At 43.3% G+C, this 18313-nt stretch overlaps 1 protein-coding gene across 13 annotated transcripts in view; it reads right to left on the bottom strand.

Annotated features, from left to right (window-relative positions):
- SPTBN1 (spectrin beta, non-erythrocytic 1) overlaps positions 1–18313 on the bottom strand; it is a 215120-nt gene that overhangs the window by 16216 nt on the left and 180591 nt on the right. For all 13 annotated transcript variants that reach the window (NM_003128.3, XM_017004781.2, XM_017004779.2 and 10 more), the window contains 11 exons: positions 17428–17518; positions 12102–12248; positions 10645–10908; positions 9778–10002; positions 9214–9303; positions 8756–9037; positions 7970–8100; positions 6041–6245; positions 5242–5616; positions 1378–1622; positions 23–161 (listed from right to left, as the gene is read on the bottom strand). In NM_003128.3, the coding sequence (NP_003119.2) occupies positions 23–161; positions 1378–1622; positions 5242–5616; positions 6041–6245; positions 7970–8100; positions 8756–9037; positions 9214–9303; positions 9778–10002; positions 10645–10908; positions 12102–12248; positions 17428–17518 (2194 nt within the window). The remainder of the gene's footprint in view (positions 1–22; positions 162–1377; positions 1623–5241; positions 5617–6040; positions 6246–7969; positions 8101–8755; positions 9038–9213; positions 9304–9777; positions 10003–10644; positions 10909–12101; positions 12249–17427; positions 17519–18313) is intronic.

The raw sequence follows: 18313 nt of genomic DNA, 5'->3' as shown, positions 1-18313 counted from the left end.
CCAAAGCAAAGTAGCAACCTACCTCCTCAGATGCATAGTGTTTTCTCGCCAACAGGGATTTCCCAAGTTCAATGCAGGTTGTGAAACTGTCATTACGTGCATCAATTTCAGCTTTGATGCCTTGATGATTATTCATTAAGAGTTCAACAGATGATACATCCCTAAAATTAGACAAACGATGCCTCCGTTAGGAGATCAAGCTTTTCAAAAAATGTGTAGGTTTTAAAACACACAATTAATTTGAAAGAAACTGATGGCCTTGAAAGAAACTGATGGTCTTTCAGGTCTGAATCACTCCCTGAGCTTAGGCTGGGCCACTGGAGCCAAAGCACAGTGACAGCACAGTTCAGTACCAGCCAGGTAACCAAACTGTAGAATATGGCTGCTTTTGTTTTTGTGTGTGTGCCTGAATAATTCAAAATGGTTGCTAGGTGGGTGCCAGAAAAAGCAATGGTTTTCTGTTCAAACTTTTACTTTGAAATGCAAGTCAGAAAGACTCTCTTCTAGAAAGTAGAGAAGCAGCAAGAGGTGCCGCAATCGCACCTTGATGAGTTAGCTGTCAAAGATTCAGGATGGCCATATCAAAGAGCAGCTAATACGGTCTCCTTATTCAGACACAAAAAGATACACAGGATGGGAACTAGCCTAGACAGCAGTGACCAGCATGGATCAAAACCTACTGATCCTGATCCAGGAAATACAACTGCTTCAAAAAAATATATATCATAAAAAATCCCTTTTATTGCAGCATAGTTTCTCAATTACAGTGGGGGCTGGAGCTGGCAGAGGGGTGAACTGGAGGTTAAATATGTACCTGTGTGTTCCTCTATTAACTTCTCTTCACTAATTTGCATGAAACAAAGCCAAAGATATAGGACAAATATTAAATAATAACCCAAGGACACCATATTAAAGCAGATGTTGAGGGTGACACCTTTAGTAATGTGCATGGAAAGGGATAGAGTGGTCTTTAATCCAAAAAGCAGGCACAGAAAAATAACTCAGAAAAGTCATCTCATTGCAAAGACGGGGCAGTTAGTCATGTCCAAGGTACGTGGCTACTTGAAGCCCAAGGTCCTACTTCAAGCACATATGTGGGCAAGAGGGCCTGAGTGACTGTGGGTCAAGGGAGCCAGGAGTAGGGAGAATGGGACAGGCTTTGATAACCCCAGGCTCCCACATTCCCTGGTGATGGTGTGCACGAGCCAAGTGCACGAGGCAAGCAGTGGTGCCGCACTCCAAGCACCGCCCCACCCCCACTCTGGCCTTGAAGCGCTCAGGCAGGAACGCTTTCAAGGCTCCTGCTTCTCTCTGGAAGACTCCTGTGTTTTAACCAAGCGCCAATAAGTCCAATTTCCTTTGGGCTGAAAGCGTTACCTTGGCTTCTCCTGGGCCTCGATCTGCCGGATGACATCCTCCATCCAGAGCATGAGGTCGCGCACCATGCTGAAGAAGCGGAACTTGTCCCCTGTGTCCACCAGCCGCACCCTGCGGCTCTCACAGGCGTCCAGGAGGGACTTCCAGGCTTCCAGGACCTCGTTCTCGCGCTTCTGGATATCGTCGGCCTTGTCACCCGCATAGGCCGCCTGGAGGCGGGCTGCATCCTCCTGCAGCTGCCTCACCTGTGAAGCCATGTAGGGGATGAGCCAGGTCAGCCCATGGCGGCCTTCCCACCATCACCCCAAGCCCTATTCTGTTCTGCTCATACACTAAAGGGAGCACAGAGTCAAAATATGGCCCATGCCCCTTAAGGAGCCCTCAATTTCACTGGGGAGATCCAAGTCACAAAAACCCGTTTTCTATAAATCTGTTCAACTACATTATTAAGTTCTTTATGAATGATAAAACAAATGAAATGCTACAGGAAGACAGGCAGGAGAGTTTAGTCAGGGAAAGTCCCCTGGAGGCAGCCTGGGATATCTGAGTGGGACATATTCAGATACAGTCCAAAAAATAAATACCTAATCTGCTATCTCGGGGTAAAGATAAATGTTTTTATGATGAATGGGAAACTGCCATGAAGAGCACATTTTGAAAATGACTTCTCATTGCTATGTGAATACAATGTATGTATCGCCTGTAAGAGTTCTCACCGTGGGACATTTACACTCAAAAAGTATAAAAACGTGGCACCCTATGTGGTTAAAATAACTAATTAACGTTAAAGAAGGTGAAACTTGAAATAGCCAAATTTCAACAAAAACCTTGCAAAACTAAAAATATACATTGAGAATTGTGATTTGGTAAATGGAGCCAATGGTACACTTCTACTTACATCTACATATTTTGGTTGAGTTATCTTTTTCAGCTATGACAGTCATAAATAAAAGAAAGAAAGAAAGAAAGAAAGAAAAGAAAAAAACCAACAAACCAACACAGAAACTGGCATGAAGAAAACATTCAGAAAGCAGGAAATGCAAATGGGTCTTAAACATGAAAAGATGCTTCATGGAGATACTGTAATGTGTCATCTATTAGTTGGCAAAAATCCAAGTGTGATGATATATTTGTCAGTGAGCTCATTCTCTGTAGACAGGAGTGTAACAGACTACAGCTCCTACAGAAGGTAAATGGGCAGTACCCATGAAAATTATAAATGTGGTACCTTCTGATTTTATGATCCTACTTTGGGGAATTGATCCTACATATACATTCTTGCATATTTAGGATACGAAATATGCATAGATTATTTACTGCAGCAGTGTCTGTAAAAGCAAAAGACTGAAAATAAAGTGACTATCAGTGAAGGACTGGTTAAATTAATGATGGTGCATCCAGCAGGAGACTCCTGTGCAGCCATGAAAAAGAATGAGGAAGGGCCTCTGTGTAGTCACATGAAAAGCACACCAAGATGACAATGAAGTGGAAGACAACGTGCATAATATTTTTCTTCTGTAAAAACAAAAATAAGATTACATTCTTACCTTTTTTTTGGGGAACGGTATATGTCTTTAAAACTGAAGCTAATAACTGCAGCTAATTTTATAGTTAAATTTTCTCCTCTTACATGCCTTATATAAAGTATGTAACATCAGTAGTGCCATACTTGTGTACAATGTCTAATTAAAGGCATACACATATAGGGGAATGGACACACAATCATCACGTACTGATAAAGCTGCGTGATCAAAGAAGTCCGCAGACAACTGTCCTGGATTATGAGAGCTTTTAGATGTCTATGAGAGTAGAATATGGAGAAATGCTAAGTGGGGTAAAAGGCGGGGGGGTACGGACAGCAGTAGGGCTTGTGGGGAGGTGGATTACTGACCCCTGATTGCACAGAAGCACTTTAGGTGATAACAGGTTAAAAAAGAAAAAAAGCAGTTTCTGCAAAAGATACAAAGAAGAACCAACAGGCTTTGGTTTCCAGTGTGATTTGATTTCCATATCCTAAAGGATTTTTGGAAATATTCTTTGATTATGGCTCAGGTTTAACTCAAATTACAATGAGCAAATTCCTAGGAAATTATCTGAAAAGCTAATTTTCCTACACAATGAACCATATTTTTCAAAACACCTGTTTCTGTGTCTCTGGCTGTTTTCAATTTGCTCGCAATAAAATGTAAGGTACAAGAGGACAGCAAAAGTGAAAATTTCCACAAATATGAACTATTGCTTTGCATAACCACTCAAGACCTCCATCAGTGCTATGTGTCATTCCCACAGCTCCCGTGCAGAATGGAGACAGTGGCACTTCAAGTTGGCACAAAAGGAAACAACCAAAGAAGAAGCACCATGTACTCCTGGGAGCCTGCACCATGAGCCTTCCCTTTTGCTCTGTTATTCTGTGAAAAGAAACCCAGATCAGGTCAATACCTGCAGTAGGACACACATCCTTTTCACTGCTATAACATCATAGCCCAGTGGGTATGGTGAGGTGCAGACTATCAGACTCGAGGGACGAGATTCCCACCCTGGATGTTCCGAGACCCTTCTTTGGCTTCCTCATCTCTAAGTCTAATGAGGTGAAGGGATTTAATGAAAAAATGAGAGAGCAACTCCACTGTCTCTCAAGTGTCTTGCAGTTCTAAAAGTAAATGATTTTAGAGGTGCAGAGGAAAGACCTATGTTGTCAAGGTGTTTTCTAATTCTATCTCTAGATATCCCATGTTTCCCTAAACTTTTGTTATATAATAATAATTAGAAAACATTTCTAGAGATCTCACTATGTCATATGTTTTGCACCTCAATCCTTAAACTATTAGGGAACCAAAGCTTAGAGAGGTAAATTAAACTTGCCATCATAGTGACAGGAATTAAGAATTAAGGGGAAGTGAGAGAGAACAACTATCAAGGTGGTCCCTTCATAGAACAAATCCCAAAGTATACCAAAGCTATTTAGAGGCTGAGGCACTAGACTGGGTCAGCCCAAGGCCATATCTGGGTGGCCTGTTTCTGTAAATAAAGATTTATTGGAACACAGCTACGCTCATTCATCTTCTCACTGTCTATGGCTGCTTTATTCTACAATGACAGAGGGCAGAGCTGCAACAGAGTATGTATCTCATAAAGCGAAAAACACTATTTGGCCTTTAACAGAAAAAGCTGAGATAACTTAGATACTCAATATACTCTTAACAACAAGAACCCTTGACATAATCAGGGATAACATCTTTAATAAAATTGGCTTCTTCTCTAGGGCCATGAAACTTAGAAGAAAAAAAATACAATTTGTTTTTCAACTAAAAGGCATAAGACTAAACAAGAAACTGTGCAGAGATCAGAAAGGAAACTAGAGAGTGATTACACTAGATTCTGTTATATTGTTACTACTTTGTCAAACATCTTTTAAACAAAGTCTTAGTGCCAGTCATTTCATACTGGGGACGAGGCATGATAAAATGTCAGAATCCTGTTTTTTTCTTTTTCCAGACATACAACTTAGAACCTGGTTGATGAAAAATAGTAAAATATTATTTTGGAAATTGTTCTGGATGGATATGCTAACATAATAAAAACACTTGCTGAGGCCTATAACTTGCAAACATCTGTGTATGCATCTGGTTTATTTATTTTAATCATGGGGGCACTCATCTAATGTTCACAAATGTGGCAAACGTAGACCTTTATGGACTGATAAGTTCTCCCAAATGGAGCACTATTACAAAGTGGGTACATGTATGTGCTTAATTGGGGCAATTCTTTTGAAGAGCCAAGGAACAGGGAGATACTTACAGATGCCCAAAGATGTTCTATGGAGAAAAAGCCTCCCCAGCACCCCTGGGTGGCTGCCATACCCACCTGTGTGCCCAGAGCCTGGATGTCATGCTCAAATGTAGTGTGCATTCTCTGTAAGGTCTCCACTGTGTTCTGATCTCTCCCAAGCTCCTCAGGGAGTTTCTTGTGTTTGTCCTGTATACGCCCAAAGATCTCCTTGGCATCGTGGTAAAACTTGTGCAGTTCATAGGAAGCGGCAAGAATCTGTGTTCTTGTGTCAATGAGCTCCAGGAGGTCGGCCCAGGCTTCATTGAGGCCATCCTTCCATTCAGCGATGGTGGCGGCATCTGAATGTCCAGAGTTGATGAGCTCATCTGCCAGGTGATTGACCGTGTCCACGCGCTCCTGCCCAATGTTCCCGGTGTCTCGGGCAAACTCCCGGAATCGTTCTTGTAACATCTGAAACGGGGATGGGTAAGGAAATCAGAGAGCCCACTGTGAACTCTGTATTTCTTGATCACATGAATACCCTTTGGAAAGAAACTGCCTCTAAGCAAGATGTAGCCAATAATACTCATGACTTCAGAACAATAGATCTTAGCTCGAGAACCTCTTAGCAACTGGGTTTCCTTTCTTGCTCACTGCAGCAGAGTGAGGCACTACCTCCACCTCCTTTTACTACCGGAGGAAGGGGTGCACAGAGAGGTTAGCCAACCTAAATGCGAGTCACCAGCTTATAAAAGAAACACCACCTTAAAACTAAACCCCAAGACCTCTGATTGGAGTCCAGGGCATTTTATCTGCTCACAGACAAGGAATGCAAATGGCCTTCCACACCATCGCTTACTGCACAACCAACTCATGCACTGCCTCAAGTACTTGCCGTGACATGCTCATAGTCCTGTCCCAGTTCATGGGACCCTGCGACCACCTCCCTCTCAGCGATCCACTGCTCCAGGTCGTCCACCTCCCGGTTGAGCTGGAATAACCTGTGTCTCTCATCCAGCTTGCCTCTTCTCTCTTCAGCAAGGTCTTTCAGACCAGCGTACAGTTTATCCACTTTGGACTGCCGCATGCTAATGCGCTCACTGAAAAAGAAAAGGAGCAATGGGGAGAAAAAGGATCTTAAATGTCAAGTTTCTTCAGGGGAAAAACAAATGAGGTGGAGATAATGGGAGAGCATATTACATCATATTTCTCAAAGGAAACTCTGGTTAACCCACTTAGCATGAAAAATAAAATTCTGAAATTGGCCACAATTTGAAGTCGTGAAGAGCCAATATGTAAACAAAAGAGCCAATATGTAAACTACATTCACCTATCCCTACTATTACACTAGGGATGGGTAGTGCCTCATTCTGCTGCAGTGAATAGTGGGGGCAGGAGAATTTAGCGGGGAAAGGGGAAAATTCTCTCTGCACCTCTGGCTCTGCAAATCAGGATTTCCTTTGATGTTAAAAGTTAATGCAAAATCTTCCCAGTCAGGAAGGTGACAAAAGAGAAAATAAGTTAATGCAAAATCCAGAGTGGTCTTGCATTCTCTGGTACCATGCTGCCAGAGGGACAAATGACACAGCCAGTGTGGCACGCAAGGCCCTCTACCTTCTCTGGGCAGAGTGCCCATCCTTGTTAGGAGGGCTGGACCGGCTGCTCCATCTCATGATTCCCAGGTGCGCAGTCAGGAGACTGAATCCCCCTCCCTCCAACTTCTCCCCAGAGTGATGGTCTACAAACCAGAATATCAGAGACAAAGGACATGTTGGTGCCTATCCCTGGAGACTAGGAAGGCCACTTTCCTGGGAATCCTGATCATGAACATCTTAAGAACCTCCTACACCAACAGAGCCACTGACCTCATCTCCCCTAACCTGCCCTGGTTAAATGCACAAGGCCAATTCCTTTCCAAGTCATAAAAGGCATTTACACAAAAATCCTAAAATGACTGCTTTGGAAGTTAATACAGGGGCCTGATGAGTACCACACACTCACCTCTTCTTTTTCCTCGAAGGTGTTCTAATCACTTGATATCGAAGAGTTAGGAGGTGTTATCACTTTGTTCTTCCTGGGAGCCCCTTCATTTTACAGGTCTATGCATTCTTGTCTAATGCTCCTCTTAAAACTAGTAATTACTTTACTAAACTGGATGACTTTTTCAACCCAAGTGTAAGTGCTATGACTATCTGTATCCACCATGCAAGTCAACCTGTACTTCTGATCATTTTTATTTTTTTGAGACAAGGTCTCACTCTGTCACCCAGGCTGGAGTGCAGCAGTGTGAACATGGTTCACTGTAGACTCAAACTCCTGGACTCAAACCATCCTCCCAACCTCAGCCTCTTGAATAGCTGAGTAGTACAGACGTGTGCCACCACACCCAGCTGATTTTTTGTATTTTTTGTAGAGATGAGGTTTCGCCACATTGCCGAGATTGGTCTTTGGCCCCCTGGGCTCAAGCAATCCTCCCACCTTGGCTTGGTAAAGTGCTGGGATTACAAGTGTAAGCCACTTTACGTTGACTGCCCAGCCTAGTCAACCTGTACTTTTGACTCACGACACCAATATTCTTTCAGGAGAGCCTTGGCCAACGGGAGATATTTAACCCACAAGAGCAATTTCCTAATATAACAGTTCACCCATCCTAATCATGATAGGATGTTTTAAATGATGGGTCTGTTTTAAAAATGCTTCTCAAAGATTTGCCTTACCAGCAAGTCATGATGAATGCTGACATTTTCTTTTGGTGGGGGTTAGCAAGAGACCCTAACTGAGAGGAATCGAGAGCCGGGTCTCACACTCATGAAGCAGCGCTCACCTTTCAGGATGGCTGTCGGCCACCAGGGCCCGGCTGGTCTTGGAGAGCTGATGCACGGTCTCTGCATAGTCCTCCACAGCTTGTTCTAAGATCTGGTGCTTCTTCAACATGGAGACAGCACTCTGCTCATCCTGCAAAGACAGGAGAACATCACAACCATAGCGGTCCCCTCTGGCCCTACCCCTTAAGGAGTGACAGACCAGCTGCTCAGCAGGGTAGGAGGAAGGATCAGTAGAAAGAAAAACTCCAGAGGTGCAGTACGGACAGTGGAACACAGAAGTGTTCCAAGAGCTTCCATATGGACTGGACCACAGAAGCCTGTGCAGAAGATAAACACAAGGAGAACGCAGAATGAGCAGGGCCCCTCTCAGAGAAAAGCTTGGGCAGACCAAGTGTGCCTGGTTCGCTGGAATTCCTCAAGGTCCCTCAAGTATGTAAATGGCAGCATTCCTGGAACCTTGCAATACTTTCAAATTGTCTCCAAGCCATCCTGTATTTTGTAAAGTTTAGGGAACCTATAAATAGACAGCAGGAAGGACTCTGGCATATTTCAAAGATGAAAGGATGAACCTGTTCTTAATGGCACACTAGGATTCAGATAAGAAAATGCTGCACCAAAGGGAAACCAGCAGCTGGATTTCAGACACCTTCATGCACATGGTGTCCCCTTAACACTCAAAGGCTACAAGGGAAGTTTTTATACAGACAGAGCCGCCAGCAGAAAGTGTGCCCAGGGTTTGAATCTGAGGCTCTCCTGGGACAGGGATGCTTCCCGCCTCCTCTCACCTTGGCCTTCTCCTCTGACATCATGTACAGCTCCTGCTCGCTCATCCAGGCTTCGGCCTCAGCAGCGTCAAAGTAGTACTGCTGGGCCCTGTGCGCCTCCTCCAGCCGCCTGTGGCGTTTCTCTGTCTCCTCAATGAGGAGACCCCACAGCTGCTTCAGGTCGGCAAGCCTCTGTCTGATGGCCTCAGCGCTGAGGCTGCTGCTGTCAGTGACGATGTTTTGGCTCCTCTCAAAGATGTCGTCAATGCGAGGCTGGTGCCCCTGGATTTCTTTCTGGAGGGTCTGGAGGGAGCGGAAAATACACACAAAGGCTTGCTAAATGGCAGCCGTCTGCTGCTTATGTCAAGCTGTTAGGGCCAGAAAGAAATAGCAAGGCTTCAAAGCTCTCTGCCATTCCCAGTCTCATAATTTAGAGCAATTATTTATCAGACAGAACTAGCTCGAGCAGAAAGGCTTACCTGATTTTTCTTTATTAACAGCTGCACAGTCTGGAGGTTGTGGCCATGATCCGTGGAAGTTGCCAAAGGCATCCTCTCTCCAACCCACAACTGGGAAGAATTTTAAATAAGTGGTCAGATCCACTCAGAGGAACAAATATACGACACAAACGAGCAGTGAGGGGCAGTGAGGGACAGCAAGGGTGAGCTTCAGAGAGTGCTCAGCCCCCTCGGGAGGGCTGTCTGGGGAAGCACGCCCTTGTTCTCCGAGACAGGGCTAGGGAGAGTCTTTCCAACTCTACCTCATCCTCAAGGTCAAACTCACTGTGAGTCCTCATTACTTTTAAAAAGTCTGTTTTAGGGCCATTAAAATCCTACAGTATCCCTAGATAACGTGAGAGGACCAATGGAGTTACATTTAGGGTGAAAAGGGAAAGAAACTTTAGACCATCCAGAGCGTGGACTTTGGCAGCTCAGCTTGCCAACGTGGCCCAAGGTGAGGATGACTGAGAAGTGAGAATGTGGGCTTTAGCACAGGCAAGGGGGCTCGTGGAAAAGCCATGTGTGCAGTAGGGGTCGACTCACGATCTCGTCCTCCACATCCCTGTTGAACTGATGGATCTCTTTGGAGGCCAGCAGGTTATGCTTCCTCTCGTTCAAGGGCTCCAGCAACTCCATGAACTTGGTCTGCACGGTGAGGCGCTTGCTGTCTACCTCGTCGGTGCTCTTCCCTTCCTGACTCAGGGCCTGGGCTTGGCTTTGGAGCTCTTCGATCTCCTTCTTCCGCACTTCCATCTGATTCTCCAGCATCTGAGGGCAGAGAAGCAGCCTCAGCGCTCAGCACAGACTATCTTTTGCAGTGACTGGCTCTAAGCAGAACTGCTGGGCCTGGGACTTGGCCACACCGCAAAGCCAGCCATGGGAGCCACTCAAACATTTTGCCACTGACTTGCTTTTCAACATCAATGGAACTGTTTTCAAGTAAATCTGAGGTAAATTCATTTGCCCTTAAAGCCCTCTACGGTGATATAATATAAACAGTTATTTTTATTACCTATAAAGTGCCTTGAACAACTCAGATAACTGTCACAAATCACGATGTTAAACAACAAAGTATGAGAATATTTCTTTCGTGTAAAATGCAGAATTGAATGAGATGAACATTTATTTAACTGTTAAACGGTGATAATACCCATTAACTAAGAAAATTATCAATCCCATACACAGACAGCCAACACCCAATACTCCTAATACTGTGTCTTTCTAGTTTGGACAAGTGTCTTTCTATTCTGGAAATGTTCTACGATGCTGTTAGAGCAAGTAATATTTTGGGTTAAAAATGCCTTCCCATGGAAGGTGGACTCCTGATAATGCAGTGGGTGAGAAAAGACTCTAAGGACTATGGCTGTAAAACAGAAATACACCCAAGTCCATGATGGCTTGTCCACTTGCCTGTTGCTTTTTCAGCAGGATATTGACACTGGTCAGGTCTTTGCCATAGTCATCAGACTGAATCTGACTCTCCAGGCCGTGCAGCCATTTGTCTAGATCTGCACAGCTCTGGGTGAAAAGTTCGGCCTTGTTTGCATCAAAGAGCCGCTGGGCCTTTGTCTGGGTAGTGGATTCAAGGACTTCCCACATTTTATGTAAACCAGTGAGTTTCTCCTTCACCACAGCTTCCGTCTCAGGCTTTTCTGAAATGAGCTGCATTCCTTCCTGGAAAACAAAACCAACATGGTTGTAAATAAACAAGTTTGCTACAGAAAAAATGTCACTGTGAAAAACAAACCTAGGACATTTGATCTGTGATTTAACCATTCACTCAATACACACAGTCTTTCCACATGAAGTTACTGCTCAATAAAATCAACAACGACCCCTAGGTTGTGTACATTACAAGGGTTTCATGGGAATTAAGCAATAAATGTTACATGCTGAAATAGTCTCAACTGGGGCAACGGAATACTGAATGCTAATAACGTGACTTTATCTCCTCCATTCCATGACCAAAGATGATATACAACACATTATTATTATTATTATTATTATTATTATTGTTATTATATTGAGACAGAGTCTCGTTCTATCACCCAGGCTGAAGTACAGTGGCGTGATCTCAGCTCACTGCAACCTCTGCCTCCTGGGCTCGTGCCTCAGCCTCCCCAATAGCTGCGATTACAGGCACATACCACCAGGCCTGGCTATTTTTGTATGCTTCATAGAGATGGGGTTTCACCATGTTGGCCAAGCTGGTCTGAAACTCCTGGCCTCCAGTGATCCATCTGCCTTGGCCTCCCAAAGTGCTGGGATTACAGGCATGAGCCACCGTGCCCTGCCAACACATTATTTTAACCGTGAAGAATCTGAAACACTATAAAAAGTCTAAAAGGAGAGAAGTCGGGGGGAAGGGGGGGACTCCATATTCATCTTCAGTTATGCTGCCCAGAATCTCTCTGTGCAAGAATAACACATCATAGTAATTATTATAGCGCCTGGTATACAGTAGTCTCATAGGAAAAAGCAATTTTAAAAAATATGTATATATTTAAAATTATGTGCAATCTGTCACAGTACAACACAAATAATATGATCAAGACAGTGGAATCCCTGCATGAGAGCTCACAGTCCATCAGCAACAGCAGATGAGAGGCACAACAGAAACTAAATGCCTAGTATTCGTTCTACGATAAATCAAGCATTTTCTACTAACTGGTTGGGTTTCTGCTTTTTTCCCTTTTGATGGGTTGAAGTCAGGAACCCGTACGTGCAAAGGGAGCTATTACTGGCTGTGTAACTTACGTAAATGTACAGATAAGATCAGATATGCTGGAAAATGTGCTAAATAAAAAGGAGTTTATTACTACCCTGTTTGTTTTCTCACCATGGCCACATCAAATGTTTTAACTCACCTTCTCGATTTTGTCAAGCCATTCTTTGTTGGATGCAAGTTCTGCCATAAATGCTTGATGCTTCAACCATTTACTGTGCAGATTTCTGGCTTCATCGTAAGACATGTCCTGGGCTGTGAGCATCTTCTCATTGATCCAGAGAGACAGCTACAGAAAGATCAGAAGGATTCAGAGATTGTGATCCTAGACATCAGCCTTTTTTCCGCCTGGAAAGGGTTGTGTTTATGTCATATTATGCATACTACACACGTTTCCATGGTGACAGACAACCAAATATTTAACTTCACAACTCTGACCCGTCATGACAGGTGTCCATTAGATGGAGCTTGTACCTGAGCTCTGCTCCAAACTATATCTAACATTCATTCCAGAAGTACAAAAGCTCTATAAGCCAGTTTTCAAACTGTTTGGCACTCATAACTGGCTTTCCCCACAAAAGGCCCGTGTTTAAAATTCTACCCTAACCACTCCAAGACATGACTCTTTTTCTCTTCCAAATACCTGTGTCAGCTATACCATGTTAATCATGATTGACTTTTACTCCATTTGGCAATCCTTCTTACTCTCTTAGTTCTTTTTATTAAAAAAAAAAAAAAAAAACTACTTATTTATTACCTCCCCCTTTTTGTGGGTGCATCGAAGGGAATGCAAAAAGGCATAAATAACTTGCTCACTGTAGGGCTAAGGCAACAATCATGCCCTTTCAATGTTTCCTTCAAGTTTGAGTCACCTTCACCTCTTTTTCTATAGCCTCTAGTTCTCTAAAGAACCTTTCATTCACACCAAGAACACTTCACAGGACTTGATTTTGAGACCCAACATGTCTGCTTGGATCTGAACTCTAGAGAGCCGCACAAAGGCTGCTGGCCGCTGACAGACCTGAGAAAGGAGCTCTCTTACCGGGGTCAGCCAAACGCCAGGCCCAGACCCACTTTTGCTGGCTTCCATCCCGAATCGGCCCTGGCTCATTACTGCCTGCCTGTAAGGGCCATGCCAGAGTCCTGATTCCCGCCCCATTTGCTTTGCTAACCTAGGAAGAGCTTTTTGTTTGCCCAGGCTGAAGATACACAAAAGAATGCAGAGCCAGCCTGGAATCAGAAGTAACCAACTGAAGGGACCATGTCCCTTCTCCTGAGTGACCGTGAGAAGCCCACTTTTACACCAGTTATTGTCACAACAAATTGGCACCTTAAATCCTTCATGGTTCTACCAACAAAGATCTAGAAGTGACACATAAAACCAGTAGAAGTACTTACAGAATTAACACTTCCAAGGCCCTTCCACTCCCACTGTGGGCTGCTGCCAGGAAAGGCTCCCCGAGATTTGTTTTTTGGAAATGATGTCAAGGAGAGCGACGTGGGTCACAGGAGCCCTCTGGCTCTGAAAGTGGGTGAACTCTTGGGCACTGTCCCTATTCTCAGGCTATTCACCACACAGGGAATGGGGCAGGGGGCGGGGGTGGGAGGGGGTTAAAAGCAAAAGGTAGTGAGATTTTTGATTTCACTCTTTGTTGAGGGAAAAACTAGCAAATCTCATAAAGTCCTTTGTCATCAAAGACCATGGATCTATTAGACAATAAAGGCACGCACTTCCTACTTGGAAAAAATTATCTATGTTCCAGTTATCTGGGCAGCTAAAATCTGAAAGACTATGGCTATTCAATCTTAGGGGAAAAGAAGTTAAAGTAAAACTTAATGACAAAATTTTTCCCAGTATTCTGTACATACACACAAAACAGAAGGCATTTATTGATTCAAAGTGCCAAGGACATTCACATATTTTCGCTATTCATAACCACTTACCCAAGAGGGATTAAAAAGAGAGAGAGAGAGAGCGCGCTACATAAAAATCAGAGGCTTATAAACAAATCTGCTCTTTGCTGAACACATCATCCTACAGATAAAGCATCATGCGATACAGCACAATGAAATGGATCTATGGAACTTGCTAGTTCATCAGCACTCTGCAACCAAAGCTACAGTTATTATTTGTGGGCATTTACAAAGGTCATTTAAGAATTTACTCATTCTCTGCAGAAAAGAACACTGTGCAGACTGGAAAAAGATAAGGAAAAAATGCTTTGATCGTTGAATCAAGCTAACAGTAAAGGACTAACTCACATCCCTGTACCAGACACATGTAGATATACTGCCTTCCTGGAAAAATAAAAATCAGTTCCAGAGAATAGGTGGTGTAATGTGAGGACATACAACACAAAAGGAATACCTTTAAAATCATTCATTCGTTTTTCAGGATATCACATTAAAATAACACTACCGGCCAGGCGTGGTGGCCCACACCTGTAATCCCAGCACTTTGGGAGGCCAAGGCGGGTGGGTCACTTGAGGCCAGGAGTTCAAGACCAGCCTGTCCAACAGGGTGAAACCTCGTCTCTACTAAAAATACAAAAACTAGCTGGGTGTGGTGGCGCATGCCTGGAATCCCAGCTACTTGGAAGGCTGAGGTAGGAGACTTGCTTGAACCCGGGAGGTGGGGGCTGTAGTGAGCTGAGATCCCACCACTGTATTCCAGCCTGGGCAACAGAGTGAGACTCTGTCTCAAACAAAACAAAACAAAACAAAACCACTACAAAGATGATGATGGTCTCTATCTTTCCACTGTAACTGGGAATAGGAGGGTCCCTGCTCATTCCAGCATACTGTATATGCCAGCATACTGTATTGCTGGTACAATAGCTGTCCTCATCTAGGTGGTGTTTATGGGGGTGGTAACAGGGGCGGATCTTACAATCCACACCTTCTCTAACCAAGGCACCCAACAAGGAAGGAAGCTGAACAAAGAGACAAACCCCTGGATTCCCCATACCTTGAACAATACCAACATCCTGTAATAGTATTAAATTTGACCTCTGAGTGCTCTGTAAATATCTACCAGAATGACAGGTAGATTATCAAATGTAGGGCTGGTCCACACACAAACGCCATTCTCAAAAGATTCTGGCTTAAAAGGGGTGTATTTTAATAAGGCTGAATGATGGAAAAGTTTATAGCCAATGACTGTATCACCCTTTTGATTATAGTACTATACCAAGTGTTTTAGAGCCCCCAAGCTTGACCTAAATTCCACCAACCATGCAGAGACTATACATGCTGGTGTGGGACACCCGACACCTCCCACAGACACTATGGCTGTACTAACTTCTAATGTGGCTCAAGGAGAGACAGGCAGGACAAGGGAAGACAGGATAAACCAGGATGATTTCGCAGAGCAGTCACACAGAGATCTGCAAATCATCTCCTGGACATAAAAAGCCCCACCCAAACTTTCCTGTGTCCTTTGAGGAGAAGTCACAGAAGACAGAGCCCCTGGGCATGCCTCATAATCACTGGAACTCAGCCAAGGTGTGTGTGGAGGAGAGAACTCCTCATAACCAGGGATGCTCATTTAGAGCAAGTGGAAACAAAGATCTAAAGACCTATTAAGACTGACCATTTCCTGTGATTCTATCGGGAAGAACCGTAACTTTATCTACTTACTTTTCCCATACATGTCTACTTAACGAAATCGACATATGTCAGTGGAAAATAAGAGACTGGAAATTTCAAATACAAATAGGTTTCTCTCAAGGGTTCCCCTGGCCACTCATTGCTCACTCCCTGGTCTTCTTTTTCTTAGATTTAAACTGAGCTTTACCATGGTTAGGTAAATGAATTTCATCTTACTAACTTGCCCTTTAAAAGCAGGAGTGTGGGATCCCATTGAACCCCCTACCCCCAGGAATATGGGCTGAGGTTACAGGGAGTCACAGATGGTTTCTCAAGGTGAAACAGGGACTACCAATCTGTGGAAGGCCCAGCCCAAGCTACAAACACCTCTTCATCCCTTTTACTCCCTCCAGTGAAAAATGGCAACTGGTATTACCGCAGCACACTAGGCAACTCCACATAGCTAACTTTAGATCCCATTACTCTCTTCTATGCCCTGTCTTGGCACATGAATGCCTCTGTAAGTGAGTATCCTACTCAAATGGGTTACTAATGCTTGCGTGTCACTTAGAAGAGGCACTCCTGTCTTCAGCCTGTCTGGCTCCGGGCAAATCCCCCAGAGACCTAGATTCATCAATGTGGTGCTTAAAGTTGACAGACCCTAAGCTTCATAGTTTAGGGGCTTTCCTTCTTAAGGTTTTGCTGCAAGAGCATATTACAAGATTTACAGTAAGACAGCAGTTTAACGGATGCAAAGGATTGCTTCTGTCATACGTGATCTAACGCAGCTGTCACTGGAGCCGTATTTCTTTTAATGCACAGTCACACATTTGCATGCAGGGTGTCTGTGATGATTGAAGTTGTATTCCCAGCGTATGACCTGATTCTACCCCCATACTCTTAGCCCCATCAAGGTTCCTGCAGCTTTTTGTGGATATTCCTCACCCCATTTTTGCCTGAGGATTTTTATTTTAATAAACCAGAGAGGGCTGAGTCTGTTATTCTCCGGCAGACAGAGAAATATGGTGTGCTCACGAACTCACACGTGAAATCAGCTAGATACTATTCTCCAACTAGCGTGCAGAGAAACTACTTTTTTCTGGCCAACTTTAGTTTTCAAAGTTTGTGCATGTATCAGAAGAGCATGAAATAGTACAATGATCATCAGATTAATGCCACATTAAAACTTGGTGCTTGGAATCAGCATTACTGCTCTTTGCATGTTAGATACACATGGGAACAGCCTGAAAGATGGATAGATGAAGGTCTTAAGCGAATAAGAAACTAATTTGTCTTTTGAAAATCTCTGCTTCTTACTTGGTAGCCAGTTTCAGTTCCCTTTAGTTCTTTCCTTCCATATCATTGAAATGTACATTGCTTTAAAGAGTGAAAGCATGACACTAAATACTTCTAGGTTGCACAATATTCTAGGACATCAATATCCAATACAACTTCCTTTGACGACAGAAATGTTCTATATCTGTGTTGTCCAACATGGTAGCCACTAGTCAAAGTTGGCTACTGAGCACTTAAAATACAGCTAGTGATGGAAGAACCACGCTCTTAGTTTTATGTAATTATAGTTAATTTAAAATGAAATAGCCAACCAACCATAAAGACATTGTGGCTGGTGTCTACTGTAATGAACAGTGCAGTACTATACTATTAATATAATAGTCTAGATTATAATGATCTAATTAAGCTGTACCTTGTAGGCTGGAGAACTGATGAAGTGCCACGTATCCCTGCCTGCGAGTCAAATGGGTGCTATGGATTTCTGGTTTCATTAATTTTATAATTCAAAAGGCTCTTGTGCTAAATGCTGGCTGGCAATTGCTATTACTGGAACACAGGAATAGAGGGATTAAAGAGTAACATACCTCTTGACAATCTTGCAGGAATTTCTGTAGATCCCTGTTGTCCTTCAACCTCATCAAAAGTTCACTGGCTGTCTCACGATTCTTCCTATGTCTATTAGAATGGTAACAAAAATAATTTTTAAAAAAGGAAGTAGAGAATCTTGAAATACAGAATACAAATCAATTTATTTCCTGAATTCCTAACTATGCTAAAAAGAGTTTGCTTGCAGTTCTCAATAATGTGAAGGAGACAAGATAAAGAGATTTTAGCATCCTCCAAAGGAGTAAGCCATGGTCCCAGAGAGACCCAAAAATCTGCCCAAACCACACAACAGGCCGAACATACTGTCAAATGATCTATACAAATTTGTTGCTTCCTAATCTGGTGTTAAGAAAAAAATATGAGCACACGCTTTGTACAAGTCCTTATTTTAGGCACCGGGGGAGAAGTGGAAACTTATTTTCAAGAAGCTCATAACTGGGTGACACATACAAGGCTAAGAAAATATATATAATCATGTAACTGGCTTTAAACAAATGTTTCCTGATAAAGAGTTTCTCATCTTGAAAAAAACTCACCAAAAATACAACAAAAAGGAATGAAAATTTTTAGACCTGTAAGACTATATACTAACTCAATCCCACTTTTAATCAATTGATAAGGGTAACTAAAGCTCAAAGAAGTTAAAACACAAAACCTTAAATAAATAACTTGTAAGAACTGGAAAGAGCTGCTGAATTTGGTAAACGCTAAGGTAAAGGGGGTGCTCGCTCCCTACTTGGCTCCTTCCCCATCTGCTGTGAAGGTGCCAGCACTCTTTGGCAAACTTCCTTCATGCACCCAGTGGCTTAGAGACTGGAAACTGAGAAATAGCAGCGTGAATGCCTAGCAAAGGATTGCCTTCCA

Source organism: Homo sapiens, chromosome 2 (assembly GCF_000001405.40).
Source record: "Homo sapiens chromosome 2, GRCh38.p14 Primary Assembly".
NCBI lineage: Eukaryota > Metazoa > Chordata > Mammalia > Primates > Hominidae > Homo > Homo sapiens.
The sequence above is the reverse complement of the archived record's forward strand: the minus strand, read 5'-3'. Positions and strand labels throughout refer to the sequence as shown.